General features: G+C 50.1%; 1 protein-coding gene and 1 long non-coding RNA gene across 11 annotated transcripts in view, besides 2 other annotated features; one reads left to right on the forward strand and one right to left on the reverse strand.

Annotated features, from left to right (window-relative positions):
* MYO7B (myosin VIIB) overlaps positions 1-16027 on the forward strand; it is a 102044-nt gene that overhangs the window by 24314 nt on the left and 61703 nt on the right. For 9 of the 10 annotated variants that reach the window (XR_001738748.2, XM_047444437.1, XM_011511218.3 and 6 more), the window contains exons 3-7: positions 4157-4270; positions 5237-5389; positions 6647-6831; positions 9793-9914; positions 13924-14066. Coding sequence is in view for 9 of the 10 variants with exons in the window: in XM_047444437.1 (XP_047300393.1) it covers positions 4157-4270; positions 5237-5389; positions 6647-6831; positions 9793-9914; positions 13924-14066 (717 nt within the window). In the remaining variant the exon portion in view is untranslated. Of the gene's footprint in view, positions 1-3876; positions 3986-4156; positions 4271-5236; positions 5390-6646; positions 6832-9792; positions 9915-13923; positions 14067-16027 lie in introns of those variants that run through there. The other variant, XM_047444438.1, reaches the window with a different exon arrangement.
* Positions 49-10966, reverse strand: LOC105373609 (uncharacterized). Its single transcript, NR_132317.1, has 3 exons — positions 10885-10966; positions 4692-4791; positions 49-1982 (listed from the first exon to the last, which is right to left on the reverse strand). It is a non-coding gene; the product is annotated as an uncharacterized LOC105373609 (long non-coding RNA).
* Positions 3650-3699: an enhancer, noted in NCBI's record as "active region_16494". NCBI's record gives its function as "activates an Ori minimal core promoter by ATAC-STARR-seq in GM12878 lymphoblastoid cells {active_cell/tissue: GM12878}" and the evidence as "EXISTENCE:reporter gene assay evidence [ECO:0000049][PMID:35858748]".
* Positions 4010-4109: an enhancer, noted in NCBI's record as "active region_16495". NCBI's record gives its function as "activates an Ori minimal core promoter by ATAC-STARR-seq in GM12878 lymphoblastoid cells {active_cell/tissue: GM12878}" and the evidence as "EXISTENCE:reporter gene assay evidence [ECO:0000049][PMID:35858748]".

Raw genomic sequence — 16027 nt, forward strand, 5'->3', positions numbered from 1 at the left:
GATAAAGGGATTTCTTTTCTTTTCTTTTCTTTTCTTTTTTTTTTTTTTCAGACAGGGTCTCACTCTGTCACCCAGGCTGGAGTCCAGTGGCACGATCTCAGCTCACGGTGACCTCTGCCTCCTGGGTTCAAGCGATCTTCCAGCCTCAGTCTCCCAAGTAGCTGGGACCACAGGTGCATGCCACCACACCCAGCTAATTTTTGTATTTTTGTAGGGAGAGGGTTTTGCCATGTTGCCCAGGCTGGTCTCGAATTCCTGAGCTCAAAGCAATCCACTAGCCTTGGCCTCCCAAAGTGCTGGGTGTGAGCCACCTTGCCCAGCCAACAAAGGGATTTCCCAGTTGCCTCATTGCGGCAGTTGCCGGGAGCTCCCCCAGAGAAAACAGGGAACTGGGGAACTGTGGGCATGGGTAGGACTGAAACCCAGGTCTGAATCACCCCTTTGGACTCTGCATCGTGTTCCCTTCACTCAACAAATATTCCTGTGTTCCGGTGGCCAAGAGATGGCTCCTCCACAGGAAGAAAGCAGAGGAGTTTTGCATTTACTGTCAAATCAACAGACCCTGGGGAACTGCCCTGCCCTGGGAGGCAGGGACAGGCCTTGAGAAGCCTGGCGGCGGGGAGTGCAGGGTGGAGAGCTCAGAGGCTGGTGAGCCCAGAGAGCAGAGGCCCCAAACCAGCCTGTGCATCCTTCCCTGCCCTCCACATTTCCACCCTTGCCCCATGCCCTACAGAGTCCAGGAGAGCAGGACAGTGCTGCGAAGTGCTCTTTGATAAGAAAATGCCCCGAATGTTCTCCTCCTGAGTGCAAAGCCACACAGGACATCGTTCCTGGCTGCTGGAGCACACTGCTGCGAGGAGGACCTTCACTACGCAGCGGCCCCTGGTGCTGCCACTAAGCCTGGCAGCATCTGACTCACAGAATGGACAGCCAAGATTGGCTTCTTGTTTTCAGTTACAGAATAGAGCTTAGGCTGTTTTAGTTTGGAGAAAGGACACACATGGTCTAAAAGGTCAGGTTGTGAGCGCTTCTGGTAACTAAGTTGCAAACATGAGAGCGTGGCTCCACTTTGGAGCATGATGTGGTTTTAAGACAAAGCCAAACATTTCACAAAGGAATATGCCACGGGATGCATCAACGCCAAATGTCCCTCTGGGAATGCGACTAACTGCAAGCAGAGTTTAGAAAAACACCTCTTGGGGCCCTATTACTCACAATTACAATTGCAGGCCTGCTCTGTCTTCAGAGATTGTAAGTCTTTGAGAGGAGAGTAATTTTTTTTTTTTTAGACAGAGTCTTACTCTGTCACCCAGGCTGGAGTGCGCAATCTCGGCTCACTGCAACCTCGGCCTCCCAGGTTCAAGCAATCCTCCCACCTCAGCCTCCTGAGTAGCTGGGACTACAGGCACCCACCACCATGCCCAGTTAATTTTTGTATTTTTAGTAGAGACAGGGTTTCACCACGTTGGCCAAGCTTGTCTCGAACTCCTGACCTCAGGTGATCTGCCCACCCGCCTCGGCCTCCCAAAGTGCAGAGTGGTCATGTTTTTAATGAATAAGTCTTTCAGAGGGCCCATGTGGTTGTTGAGCCCTCTGTGGTGCCCTCTGTGCTGGACACTATGCGGGGTCCCTGCCATAGGGCATTCCATCTTCACAGCAGCCCTGTGAAGCGGGCCCTTTCAACAGATAAGAAAGTTAAGGTTCAGAGCAGTTAAGTGACTTTCCCAAGGCCGTATAACTCCTGTAATATAGAGTAGAGATTAGAACCCAGCCGGACTGTCTGACTTCACTGGGGCTTGGACTGCCATAACAAGGTATCACAGACTGGATGGCCTAAACCACAGACATTTGCGTTCTCACAGTCCTGGAAGCTGGAAGTCCAAGGTCAAGGTGCCTTTAGGGTTGGTGTCTGGTGAAGCCTCTCTTCCTGGCTGGTAGATGGCTGTCTTCTCATCTTATCTTCACATGGCCTTTCTTCTGTGCTTGGGGGTGAGGAGAGGGAGAAAGAAAAAGAGAGAGAGAGAGAGAAAGGGAGAGAGAGAGAGCGTGCATGCATCTCACTCTGGTGCCTCTTCCTTTTTTATAGACACCAGTCCTGTTGGATTAGGACCACACCCTTAGGACCTTATTTAACCTTAATTACCTCCTTGAAGGCCTTATCTGCAAATATGGTCATGTCAGGAATTGGGGCTTCACTATATGAATTCTGGAGGGACACAATTCAGTCCATATAATGAGGTTTACTTGTATTTTTGCCCATCTTCTATAGCGATCTTCTTCCTAATTCTAATTTTATTTTATTTTTTATTTATGTATTCTTTTTTGACAGAGTCTCTGTCAGCAAAGCTGGAGTGCAGTGGCACGATCACAATTCACTGCAACCTCCACCTCTCAGATTCAAGCAATTATCCTGCATCAGCCTCCTGATTAGCTGGGATTACAGGCGCCCACCACCACGCCCAGCTAATTTTTGTGGGGTTTTATTGTTTTTTTTTTTTTTTTTTTTTTTTGAGACGGAGTCTTGCACTGTTGCCCATGCTGTTGTGCAGTGGCATGATCTCGGTCACTGCAACCTCTGCCTCCCGGGTTCAAGCAATTCTCCTGCGTCAGCCTCCCATGTAGCTGGGACTACAGGTGCTTGCCACCACACCCGGCTAATTTTTGTATTTTTAGTAGAGATGGGGTTTCACTATGTTGGCCAGGCTGGTCTTGAACTCCTGACCTTGTGATCTGCCCGCCTCAGCCTCCCAAAGTGCTGGGATTCCAGGCATGAGCCACCACACCCAGCCAATTTTTGCATTTTTTTAGTAGAGGCAGGGTTTCTCCATGTTGGCCAGGCTGGTCTCAAACTCCTGGCCTGTCTTGGCCTCCCAAAGTGCTGGGATTACAGGTGTGAACCACCACATCCAGCCCCTAATTCTAATTTTTTAACAAATTCTATATCATTTTGCTCACTTTTCTCCTTCCTACCTTTTATGATTCTTCCCATGTTTTTATAATCAGGGTATGTTCTCCTGCTGTTTCCAATTTTGCTTTCATTCTGGTCTGCATTTCTTTCATTTCCTCAATTTTTTCATTCGGCTCTGCCAACTCATGTCTCATCCTTTTTCTCAGTTGTCCCCCATCTAATTCCTGGGCTCTTTTGCCTCTGACCTACTCTTTGGTCAGTTTTTGTAAATTATGGTGAAATACTTGGTCACAACTTCCTACTGCTCTGTGGCAGTTATTTCTCTTTTGCTGAGTATTATTTGCTCCTTTCCTCCTCTTGGGTTTCAGTACCTCCGAACACAGAACTGTGCTGGTTCCTTTTGGATTACTTCTCTTCAGATGGGGTGAGCTTTCTTGGATTAGAAGGAGGTTCATGAGGTGTCAATGCCACAGTGCAGGCTAGCAGAAATCTCACATGTGAATTTTTAGTAGTGGCTTCTCCCACCCAATAGATCTGGGTACTGCAGAGCTTTTCACAGGGCAAGACTTCTCTTTTCCCACCCCACAGAGAGACTGCTTCCTGCAAATATGGAAGACCTGCAAATATGGTGTTTCCTAGAACCAAGACAGGCCAGGCAAGCTCCGCCTGCCACCTTGTGCCCTTGCTCCTACTGCTGCAGCAAGACATGCTGCTTTTGCATGCCAGGATGGGCTCCTGCCTTGGAGAAGTGAACTTTGCCCTCTCTTTCTGGAACCTACAGCTGGGGCCACCTTTTCAGCTTCCTCCTGCGTCTTCTAGTGCTCGTTTCTGTTTCTCATCCTCCTATTGCTTGTGGGTGATTTCTGAGAGGATGCAACTCTTGCTACCGTCATCAAGCTTGAGAAGCACTTTCTCTCTTAACCACTCAGCCACACCACCTTCCTAAATAGTAGCCAAGTTTCTTTTTCATTATGAGAGGTGCTGTGGTGAGACCAGAGCTCCTGTTCTTGTCAGCTTATTGTCCCAGACAAGACAAAGACATGGAGAGAAGCTGTACAGGCGCTTGGTACCTGCCCAGTGAGCAGGGAGAAAGAGAGATGGGAGAGGGGAGGAGAGGAAAGGAGAGACAAGCTCCAGCCACCTTGGGAGCTCTGGGCTGGAAGGCATAGCCCCGAAGAGAAGTAAGTATCCAGCAGGGAGGGGAAGAGAGAGCGGGGATCACACCACTGTCTTCTGTCTGCCCTCCAGGGTGACCACGTGTGGCTGGAGCCTCCCTCCACCCACAAGACCGGCGTGGCCATCGGGGGCATCATCAAAGAGGCAAAGCCAGGCAAAGTCTTGGTTGAAGATGACGAGGGCAAGGTCAGTGTTCTGGGGTTTCCTCTGGGCCCTGCCCTGCCCTCACATCCAGGGCCCTGGAGCCCTCCCCGCCCTGTGGAGCCTCTCCCCAACACCAGGGGCTCCAAGGCCAAGTGGGGACCTGGGTGGCAGGACAGATCACGGTGGAGTCCTGCCATGGAGAACATGGCCTGTGTGTCCTGGGGAACGTTTCAAGAAGGAAGTGGGAAGTGGGAAAGGGGCTCTGGAAGGGCCAGAGGGGCAGAAAGCCAGTTTGCAAAATGAAACGGGCAAGGGGGAAAGGTGGGTGAGGAAGGTGTGTGGAGGGGCAGGACGGGGCAAAATGCACAAGTAAGAGGCCAGCAAGCTGGAGTGGCCCGGGAGTGACCAGCTCGTCCACCAGAGGGGTCAGGGCCAGCTAGGTGGTGAGCAGGGAAGGGCTTACAATGGAGTGTCCAGCCGGTCACTTAGCTCCTCAGATTGTCCTCTGTGCTCAGCTGGGTGCTGCAGGCTTAGCCTCCAAGGAGAAGTTTCTAGGCTGTGGCCTGTGAGTTCCAGATGATGGAAGTCAGTAAAATAATAACAATATCTTCTATTTGTGTGACACTGTAGTTTTTTAAAAAAGCTTTTACTTGCACAGTCTTATTCCAACAACCTGCAAGGCTCCCAGCTGCAACCTGACCCTAAATCTAACTTCTGGCTATAAGCTCCTTTGTCCCTGGTCTGAAATTCAGCCCTAGCCCCAGCTACGCCCTAACCCTGGGCCCTAGACCCATGCTGACCCAGCCATAGATGGACCGGATCCTGCCACAGGAGTCTCTTGACCCTTGTCATAGACTGACCCTGGCCGGAGGCTGGCCACTGCCCCAGGTCAGCTGATCCATGACCCGGAAGGTCACCTTGCTGCTGAGAACTTGGAGGGGAGGGTGTGGCAGGCTGGCCATGGGGATGGAGGCCACCCCTCAGGGGAGTCTGCACCCATTGTTCCAGGAACACTGGATCCGAGCAGAGGACTTTGGTGTCCTCAGTCCCATGCACCCCAACTCAGTCCAGGGTGTGGACGACATGATCCGCCTGGGGGACCTGAACGAGGCAGGCATGGTGCACAACCTCCTGATCCGCTACCAGCAGCACAAGATCTATGTGAGTCTCCCCAGCCCTGTGTCCACAGGGGAGCCCCTCACAGGTGCCAACCTCCTGGACAGGGAGAAGAAAATGATGCACAGGGGGCACTGCCCCCCATGCCCTCACTGAGGGAGGTGGGCGAGGTGCCTAACTTTTCCCAATCTCTGCTGCCCAGTCCCAAACAAGGAGGGTGATCCCACCCTGGAGGGGAGGAAGCCAATGCGTAGAGTGACAGCACAGTGCCTGGCACAGTCTCTGCTCAGTGAGGGCTGCAGATGGCCATCAGGTGGCCATCATCCTCTGCCCTCTCCTTCCCAGGCATGTTGTAGAGACAGAGTCACTAGACAGAAAGCCCCTGGCCTCCCAAGAGTGAGGCCCGTGACAGCCCAGATCCCAAGGTCCTGATTCACCAGACGAGGGGGCCATGGGGATGGATGTGGGCCCTCCGTGCAAACCTGGCCTGGATGGAGGTTCACTCCAGCCTGAAGCTCTCATCCTGGTTCCAATGCAGATTTTTCCAGGGGAGGTGGTATTCCAAAACCGACACCAGTTCGGCCTAAGTAGGTGTGGCCTGCAGAAGCCACTGCCTGCCTGGGCCTCTCTGGTCTGGAGGGGTGGCTAGCTTGGTTCTGACTGGCCCTTCTGGGCTGCTCAGAGGAAAGCAGCTTGTGCTTCCAAAGGGCTTTTGCCTGCACTCCTCATCTGGTGGCACAGCCTGAAGCCAGAGGGCACGTCCTCTCCTTTCCTAAAGTGAAAACCAGGACACCATGGTCATGTGGCTTATTGTGCAGGCTCTGCCTGCCGCACCCCCTGAGGGGCAGTGGGGCTGGGTGGGGGCTCCAGATGGGCAGCTGATCCAGGGCGGAGGTCCCAGGGGCACACAGAATTTGGGGTTGGGGTCCGTGAGGCCCAGTTGTTGACCAGCCTATATGAAAGCCCCTGCGGGATGCAGGTGAAAACCCATTTCATACTTAGTCCATTTTTATCGAGCCCCTTCTAAATACCAGGCAGGGTACAAAACAGTTAACATTTGATCTTCCTGGAAATATGTTCCCTGGGAGCTCACCTTCCTGGTGGATATCCCATCTTCCCAGAGGAGAGATCTGCGCAGCTGAATGTCTGATCTCCCTGGCCCAGAATCAGATTCTACTTCCCCACCAAAGTCAGTGGCCCTGATAACCCCGAGGGCAGAGCCAGAGCCAAGGCCAAGGCCAAGGCCAGGGCCGAGTACCTCTGCCAGGGGCAGAGGGCACTGACCACCTGCTTCCTTCCCAGACATACACAGGCTCCATCCTGGTGGCCGTCAACCCGTTCCAGGTGCTGCCGCTCTACACCCTGGAGCAGGTACAGCTCTACTACAGCCGCCATATGGGCGAGCTGCCCCCGCATGTCTTTGCCATCGCCAACAACTGCTACTTCAGCATGAAGAGGAACAAGAGGGACCAGTGCTGCATCATCAGGTGAGGCAGAGGGGTCAGGCACCACCTCCAGGCATCTCCCTGAACTGCTCCCCACCAGCATGCCTGCAAGATCAGGCGAGATGAGAGCTCTCCCTACTCCATGGCACACACCCATCTCCACAGCACACAACGGCCCCAGTTACCCTGCACCCCGAGCAGTTCCCCCAAAGCTTCCTTCCTTCAGAACCTAGGCTTTCATCGTGTCACCAGGGACTGGACTGCCCAGCTTTTAATAAAGGTTTACTGAGTCAAGGAAGGAAGTTGGGCTGGGTTCCTTTAGAAATGGGCCCCAGGAGTCGGGCATAGTAGCTCATGCCTATAATCCCAGGGACTTGGGAGGTCAAAGGAGGAGGATTGCTTGAGGCCAGAAGTTTGAGACCAGCCTAGACAACATAGCAAGACCCTCTCTCTGTAAAAATAAAAAAAGAAAAAGATATGGGACCCAGGTTAGGCACTTAAAGCTGCAGGAGTTGAACAGGTGAGGGCCCACTCAAAAAAAAACACAGGGCAGGCCTCAGGTGAGGACAGAGGAGCAGCAGCTCCAGGGGACAGCTCTCAGTTCACTAGGGGACCAGAAGGAAAGTGTCCCCTCCAGTCCAGGTCCTGACTGCTTCAGAGACTCCCTGCCTGGCCTGGCCTCTCTACCAGTGACCACAGACCCTGAGAACTTGGAGGGGAGGGTGTGGCAGGCTGGCCACGGGGATGGAAGCCACCCCTCAGGGGAGTCTGCACCCGTTGTTCCAGGAACACTGGATCCTAGCAGAGAACTTTGGTGTCCTCAGCCCCATGCACCCCAACTCAGTCCATGGCGTGGATGACATGATCCACCTGGGGGATTCATTCATTCATTCATTCATTCATTCAATCATTTGAGGTTTTGTCATGCCCCAACTGAGTGCCCCCAACTGTCCTAACATGGTGAGGCAGCAGCTAACAAAAGGGACCAGAATCCCTTCCTCAGGGAGCTTATATTCTAGAAGCGGAGACAGACAGGCAACAAATAAGTGCGTTTTTATGTAGGTCCTAACAGCTTTGAAGAAAAACACAGCAGGGGAGAGGAAAGGGTGATGTCGGCCTCTTCATTAGATAGGGGGCAGGCCAGGCACGGCCTCTCTGAGGAGGGATGTTGAACAGAGACCAGAATGAAGTCCTAAGGCACAGGTGATCACATTTCATGTCCTCAGCAACCCTCTGAAAGAGATGCTCTTATTCCCATGATATGGTCTCATGTTACTGCTGGAGAGACCTACAATCAGAGGGGCTGAGATCCTGTTCCAGTGGTACACAGCAGTGAAGTGGGAAATTCAAACCCAGGGCTCTGGAGAAGACAGCAGACAGGTACTCTGGGAGAAAGCTGGAACTCCCAACCTGCCCCCAGAGGCAGGGCAAGAGGCCCCTCAGCAGAGCTGGGCCGCAGGCTGGCTGGCCAGGGAGCTTACGGTGTGGCTCTACCTGGAGGTTGGCGGGGCTGGCAGTGTGAACAAGGAGAGGAAAGAGCCCCCTGATTTTGGTTCCTTGCAGTGAGCAGAATGTCACTTGTCACTTTGAATCAAATTGCATTCTCCTCCTGCCCTTTCCTCCCCCAGGGCTGTGGGCAAGTCCCCTTAAGCCCCTGTCTCTACAATGGCAGGTTATTTGATGAGCTCGTGTTTATAAAAACGCCTGGCGCTTGACAGGCACTCAGGGGAGTCCACAGCTATCACTGGAGGTTTGTTGATCTCACTCTGCTTTGCTGGCATAGTGATTGTGGGTATTTTGATCATAACTTTTAAAAAAGGTAATATTTTGGCCGGGTGCGGTAGCTCACGCTTGTAATCCCAGCACTTTGGGAGGCTGAGGCAGGTGGATCACCTGAGGTCAGGAGTTCAAGACCAGCCTGGCCAACATGGTGAAACCCCGTCTCTACTAAAAATATAAAAATTAGCCAGGCTTGGTGGCCGACGCCTGTAATCTCAGCTACTCAGGAGGGTGAGGCAGGAGAATTGCTGGAACTGGAGTGGGCGGAGGTTGCAGTGAGCTGAGATCGTGCCATTGCACTCCAGCCCAGGCCAACAACAGCAAGACTCCGTCTCAAAAAAAAAAAAAGACAGTATTTTCAGGCCAAGCACGGTGGTTTATGCCTGTAATCCCAGCACTTTGGGAGGCCGAGGCGGGCAGATCATCTGAGGTCAGGAGTTTGAGACCAGACTGGTCAACATGGTGAAACCTTATCTCTACTAAAAATATAAAAATTACCTGGGTGTGGTGGCAGCCACCAGTAATCCCAGCTACTCAGGAAGCTGAGGCATGAGAATCACTTGCACCCAGGAGGTGGAGGTTGCAGTGAGCCGAAATCATGCCACTGTACTCCAGCCTGGGTGACAGAGTGAGACTCCGTCTCAAAAAAAAAAAAAAAAAAAAGGTAATATTTTCAGATGAAGCAACATCTGGGATTTGCTTTAAAATAGTACAGGACGGGAAACAAAATTGGCCGGGAGTTGAAGCTGGATAATGGGACTGTGGGAGTCTGTTTTGCAAACTCCAAAGTGCAGGAATCCTCTGGGGATCTGGTGAAAATGCAGATTCTGATCAACAGAGCCTGTGTGACCTGGGCATCTGCATTCCGAGCCTGCTGCTGGCCTGTGGGCCACCCTTTCATTAGGAAGACACTGAGTCATCTCACTCAGTCTTCTGTACGTCCTGGGCACTGTGGTGCTGACCCTGGAATGAATCAGATCCGAGTGTGCCAAGGAACTTGCAGCCAAGCACAGAAGAAAAGACAAACACAATAACATGTACAACACAGGCAGCCTGAGACCCACAGGGGATTTCAGGGCTTCAGTGCAGTGGGATTTCTGCAGGGGAGAGGCCATCCCTGTCAGACTGGCTCAGAAAGCAGGACTGGGGTTTGCAGGAGAGTTGAGAGGTGTTGAAAAAAATAGTCGTTTTGTGGCATCATGTCCCTGCACACCCTTTTTGCAGCGGCGAGTCTGGGGCTGGCAAGACGGAGACCACCAAGCTCATCCTGCAGTTCCTGGCCACCATCAGTGGCCAGCATTCGTGGATTGAGCAGCAGGTCCTGGAAGCCAACCCCATCCTGGAGGGTAAGCATCACTCTGGGACCCGCCCTTCTCCCCCAGCCCCCCTGGAGCCTTCCTGCCAGGTAGGACCATGGGGAGGGACAGGATAGGCCACAAACCTTCAGCAACTCCTCCAGACCCTTGGGACACAAAACACAAGGGTGGGGTGCATGGTAGGGGAAGGGGGGCCAGGCAGCACAAAGGGGAAAGACTGAGGACTTAATAAACTTCCACCAGGTGTGTTTTCCACGGGATTGTAAGGAATATTCTTTTTAAAAAGGCATCCAAGATCAAATCAATTTGGGAAATGCTAGATGCATGTGTTCAGTTGCTGGAACTGAACTGGAAAGCAGTTGCTGGGCCAGAGTGAGGACTGCAAGAGGTTTATTGAGGGGTAAACCTGCAGAAGGCAAAGTGGGAGAAAGCAGGAGTGGGCAGGATGAGCCTTCAAACTTGGATGCTGCTCAGACGCTTATGAACGGGAAAAAGAGAGGAAGCAGCTTGGGTCGGGAGAGGCTCACGCTGTGATCCAGATCTAAGTCTTGGCCAACCCAGCAGGCAGCTCTGGAGCAAACTGCTCCTTAGAAGGCTCCTGGCTTCGGCCCCGGTGACCCCGGCCTCAGTCTAGTCGGGGCTGCCCAGAAGCCCGTGGCCTCGGCCCCAAGGCTGTCAGCTGCTGGACAGCACAGTCTCTCTCGTTTCTTTACAACTGAAGTTTGCTTTACATATAGTAAATATTCACCTTTTTCAAGTACAGTTTTGTGAGTTTTGACAAACTCATACAGGCCTGTGGTTCCCATCATCATCATGAAATAGAATTTTCCCTTCACCCCCCAGATCTTCTCTCACACCCCTTCGTAGTCACCCTGTCTTCCCAACCCCTCCCCTGGCAACTACTGATTTGTCTTTCCCCCGCCCCCCTTCACAGTTTTGTCTTTTCCAGAACGTCATAGAAGTAAAATCACAGGGTTTGTAGCCTTTTGTGTCTAGTTACCTTGGCTATTTGGGATTCTTCCTTGTTGCTGCCTGCATCAGTGATTCATTCCTTTTTAATGCTGAGTAGAATTCCATTGCGTGAAGGTACCACAGCTTCTCCACCCGTTCAGGACATCTGGGTTGTTTATCGTTTTTAGCTGCTAGGAGTAAAACCTCTATAAATGTTCACATACAGGTTTTTGTGTGCACATTGGTCTTTCCCTTGGATAAATATGCAAGAGTGAAATTGTTGGCTCAAAAGGCAAGTGAGCCATTTCACTTTGTCAGAAACTTCCGAAATGTTTTCCAAAATGCTCACAGCATTTTGCTTTCCCACCAGCAGAGCAGGAACATTCTGGTTGTCCTGTGTCCCCACCAGCACCTGGCACAGTGAAGGACCTGGTCTGCCTTCTGATATGTGTGGAGCATGCTTGTAACTCCCGTGGCCCTGACGACTAAGGATGTTAGCGTCCTTCCTCATGCTTACCTCCGCTCTGTATATCTTCTCTGGTGAAGTGTCAGTTCAAATCTTTTGCCTATTCTTTAATATTCTTTAATTGGTCTATTTCCTTACCAGTGAGTTTTTTTTTTTTTTTTTGCTTGTTTGTTTTTTGTTTGTTTGTTTTTTATTTTTTTGAGACGGAGTTTCGCTCTTGTTGCCCAGGCTGGAGCACAATGGCACGATCTCGGCTCACTGCAACCTCTGCCTGTTAGGTTCAAGCGATTCTCCTGCCTCAGCCTCCCGAGTAGCTGGAATTATAGGCATGCACCACCACGCCCAGTTAATTTTGTATTTTTAGTAGAGACGGGGTTTCTCCATGTTAGTCAGGCTGGTCTCAAACTCCCGACCTCAGGTGATCCACCCGCCTCGGCCTCCCAAAGTGCTGGGATTACAGGCGTGAGCCACTGTGCCTGGCCATTAGTGAGTTTTAAGAGTTCGTTCTGTGTTCTGGATACAAGTCCTTTATAAGATAGGTGTTACATCTTATATTGTGTCCGAGTTTGTGGCTTGTCTTTTCATTCTCTAGACAGGGTCTTTTGCAGGGCAGAAGTTTTAAATTTTGATGAAGTTCAATTTTTCCTTTTATGGGTCATGCTTTTTTGTGTTGTATCTAAGAAATCTTTGCCTAACCCAGAGATTTTCTCCTATGTTTTTCCTATATGTTTTGTAGTTTTAGGTCTTATATTTAGGTTGATGATCCAGTTTATGATTTACATTTGTGATCCGATATTTTTCTATGGTGCAAGGTACACAGCATAGAAAAAAAGACTTTTGGCTGGGCATGATGGCTTATGCCAGTAATCCCAGAACTTTGGGAGGCCAAGGCAGTCAGATCGCTTGAGGTCAGGAGTTCAAGACCAGCCTGGTCAACATGGGGAAACCCCATCTCTACTAAAAATACAAAACTTAGTTGAGCATGGTGGCATGCGCCTATAATCCCATCTACTCGGGATGCTGTGGCAGGAGAATCGCTTGAACGCAGGAGGCAAAGTTTGCAGAGAGCCGAGATCACACCACTGCACTCCAACCTGGGCGACAGAGTGAGACTGTCTCAAAAAAAAAAAAAAAGACTTTTCTGTCTTTCCTTCCTTGCTTCTTTCTCATCTTTTCTCCTTCCTTCCTTTCTTTTTCTCCTTCCTTCCTTTCTTTTTCTCCTTCCTTCCTTTCTTTTTCTCCTTCCTTCCTTTCTTTTTCTCCTTCCTTCCTTTCTTTTTCTCCTTCCTTCCTTTCTTTTTCTCCTTCTCTCTTTGTTTGTTTTGCATGTTGATACTCTATTATTCCAGTCCTATTTGTCAAAAAGACTATTTTTTCTCTGTTGACTTACCTTTGCACCCCTGTCTAAAATCAACTGACCATCCATGTATGGGGCTGTTTCTGGATTCTCTATTATCTTCAATTCCCCTCTCTGTCTATTCTTTCACCAGTGCTACACTGTCTTGATTTCTATAGGAAGCGGTGCAATCAGATAGCATGTGCCCTCCAATTTTGTTATTCTTTTTCAAACTTGGCTATTCTAGGTAATTTACCTTTCCATATATAGTACATTTTAAGATCAGCCTGTCAGTTAGTACCAAAAAAAAAAAAACTGCCTGCATCAGATTCTTTCTTAAAGAGACACCCAACCAGTCGCCCCCATGATGGCCACACTGGGTTCAATAAGTTAAACAGGTTTCGTAATGGTGGCACTTCTCAGAGGCTCTGCTGTGCATTGGGATTCCTCGAGAGAGAGACAGGGTGCCGTGTTTCCTAAACCTACTTCCCCAAGGAACCCTTTTCCTTCGTTTCATGGGACTATGCTGGATGCTGGTATTCTGAAACTGCATTCTAACCATTAATGGGCCATAAAATCAGTCTTCTAGAACAAATCAAATATCATAGAATAGAAACACCCCAGCACGTCACTCTTCATAAGAACTAGTACTGAGTATTTTGTTCTAACTTTGTGTGTGCAGGTGGACATGTGTATATACTAGGATGTAATGCAAAATATCTTTCTTACTGTGGATCACATCAGAAAACTTGCAGAAACAGCTTTACAAAAAAGACTGACCACTTCCGTGTGCCCTGGCCTGGACACGCTGTTGGCACTCCCCATGCCGGCTTGGCCTCTCCGTATCAGCCTCAGCCCTGCAACCTGAGCCATCTTTCTAAGCTGTGAATCTGCTCCCACACTCTCTCAGAAGCTTTACTGCTTCCCTTATTACTGCAGAATGATTGCCCAAGTTCTGAGCCCGGCATTTAAGGCTCTGTGCCACCTGGCCCTACCTACTAACTAGTTCTGTCTACCTTCCACTGCTTTCCTCCTGCATCCCACACTCTGACAAGATTTCTGCGTCTGCAAGCACACTCCATGCTTTTTCTGACCTCCGAGGTTTTCCCTGCATTTTTGTCTTCCTCTTAGCGGGCGCTTGGCTTCCGTCACTGTCTGGTGCAGCCGTGCCCATTCTTCAATTCGAGGCTTGGCCACCTCCTCTGAGAAGCCCTCTTACATGATCCCACTCAAATTACATTTTCTCCTCTCTGCTCCCATCATGGGCATCGCCCGCTTACCTTCAGCCTTTGGAAATGCCAAGACAATCCGCAACGACAACTCAAGCCGCTTTGGGAAGTACATTGACATCTACTTTAACCCCAGCGGGGTGATCGAGGGCGCGCGCATCGAGCAATTTCTCCTGGAGAAGTCCCGGGTCTGCCGGCAGGTGAGGCCTCCCCCTTCCCAGGTCGGGAGTTGAGGGAATGGGGGAGGTTTCCAAGAGGGGCCCCTTTCCCACTCTCACCTCTCCTCCCCTCTTCCCCAAGGGCCCTCCCAGAACCCACAGGCCTCACTGGATAATGAGGGCCCTTCCCCAGTATTCCAGGACAGCAAATGATAGAAATTTTTCCATTTTGAGCAGGGCTTGGTGGCGCACGCCTCTAATCCCAGCACTTATGGGAGGCCAAAGCGGGTGGGTTACTTGAGGCCAGGAGTTTGAGATCAGCCTGGCCAACATGACAAAACCCTGCCTCTACAAAAAATATGAAAAAAAAAATTAGCTAGGCAGTGGCACACGCCTGTAATCCCAGCTACTTGGGAAGCTGAGGCATGAGAATTGCTTGAGCCTAGGAGGCAGAGGTTGCAGTGAGCTGAGATTGCACCACTGCACTCCAGCCTGGGCAACAGAGTGAAACTCTGTCTCAAAAAAGACTTTTCTCCATTTTGAATTTTCCATTCACATACATTTCTTCTTTCTTTGGTGCCTACCATTCCTCATCCCTACTAGAATTAATTCTGAGACTAGGCTAGTTGGGTGGGCCGTATCTTCAGGTATGTTAGGGGACATGGCAGAAAGACACAGATGACAGTATCCCAAATACCACATGGCCAGGAAGTACAGTGGCATGTGGCCTGTGTTGTCACACCAGGCCCTGTGCTCAGGGGGCCCCATGCTTGGTTTCATGCTCTGCTATTGCCACCTTGAAATTCTTACTAGCTTTTTAGCAAGAGGGCCCATGGTTTCCTTTTGCACTGGGCGATCATGTAGCCAGTCCCAAATGGTAGGAATCCCAACACATGGCACCCACAACAGCAGAATTAATGCACCTGTGTGTGTGTGTGAGTGTAAGGGGGTGCTCTCGTATGATGGCATAACACCTAACACATGCATGTGTGCAAATGAGTGCACACACACAGAAGGGGTCCAGAGGGGAGAATGCCACCAACAGAGGGGCTGTGGCTGTGTGAGAGGGACAGATGCCTCCGCACTGTGACAAGCTGAGAAGGAAGGTCACATTTAGTGACCCTCCGACCTGGTGCTATACTTTTCCTGTTTTATCTCATTTGACCTTCACAACCATGAGAGGTAGGTCTCTTTATCCCTATTGTACAGATGAGAAAACTGAGTCCAGTTAAGTTCGGCCCCTTGTCCAGGGTCACAGAGCCAGCAGATGGCAGAGTCTCTCTGCCCTGTCTGGAAGCTCCTATTTCTTGATATAGTGGTTGCTGAGTTCATAGAACTTGTCACCCAAAATGATACCCTGAAATGGGCAGGAAATTTCTAAAGCAGGTGAGAAACAAGGCCTGCCCAAGAAAAGAGAAAGAATTTAAAATTACGGCATATCTATACTACAGAGGAGGCGGTCTGTCCATGTCAATGTAAAGGATCACCAAGAGATATGTTTAGGTGAAAAAAAAGGAAGTAGCAGAACCACAAATATGTTTTGTGTAAAAAAAAAGAAACAAAGAAAAGAAAAGAGATAACTATTTATAGATATACTATAAGTAAATGTTTTTTTAAAAACATGTCTAGGTTCTGGGGCGGGGAGGAGGGGATTTAAGAAAGGGGAAGGCAGGATGGAAAGGAGCTCTCATTTTTTTGTTTTTGATCCTCCCACCTCAGCCTTTTGAGTAGCTGAGACTAGAGGTGTTTACCACCACATCCAGCTAATTTTCTTATTTTTTGTAGAGGTGAGGTCTCACTATATTGCCCAGGCTGCTCTCAAACTCCTGAGCTCAAGTAATCTTCCCGCCTCAGCCTCCCAAAACTGCTGGGATTACAGCCCAACTGAGACTCCCATCTTTTAACACTACTGCATATGCTTCAGATTGTTTGATTTGTATGAGAATGCATTTATAAATAGTGTTTTAAAAAATACAGAAGGCACCCTAGGCAACATGGCAAAA

The sequence above is a fragment of the Homo sapiens genome, chromosome 2 (assembly GCF_000001405.40).
Source record: "Homo sapiens chromosome 2, GRCh38.p14 Primary Assembly".
In the NCBI taxonomy this organism is placed as follows: Eukaryota; Metazoa; Chordata; class Mammalia; order Primates; family Hominidae; genus Homo; species Homo sapiens.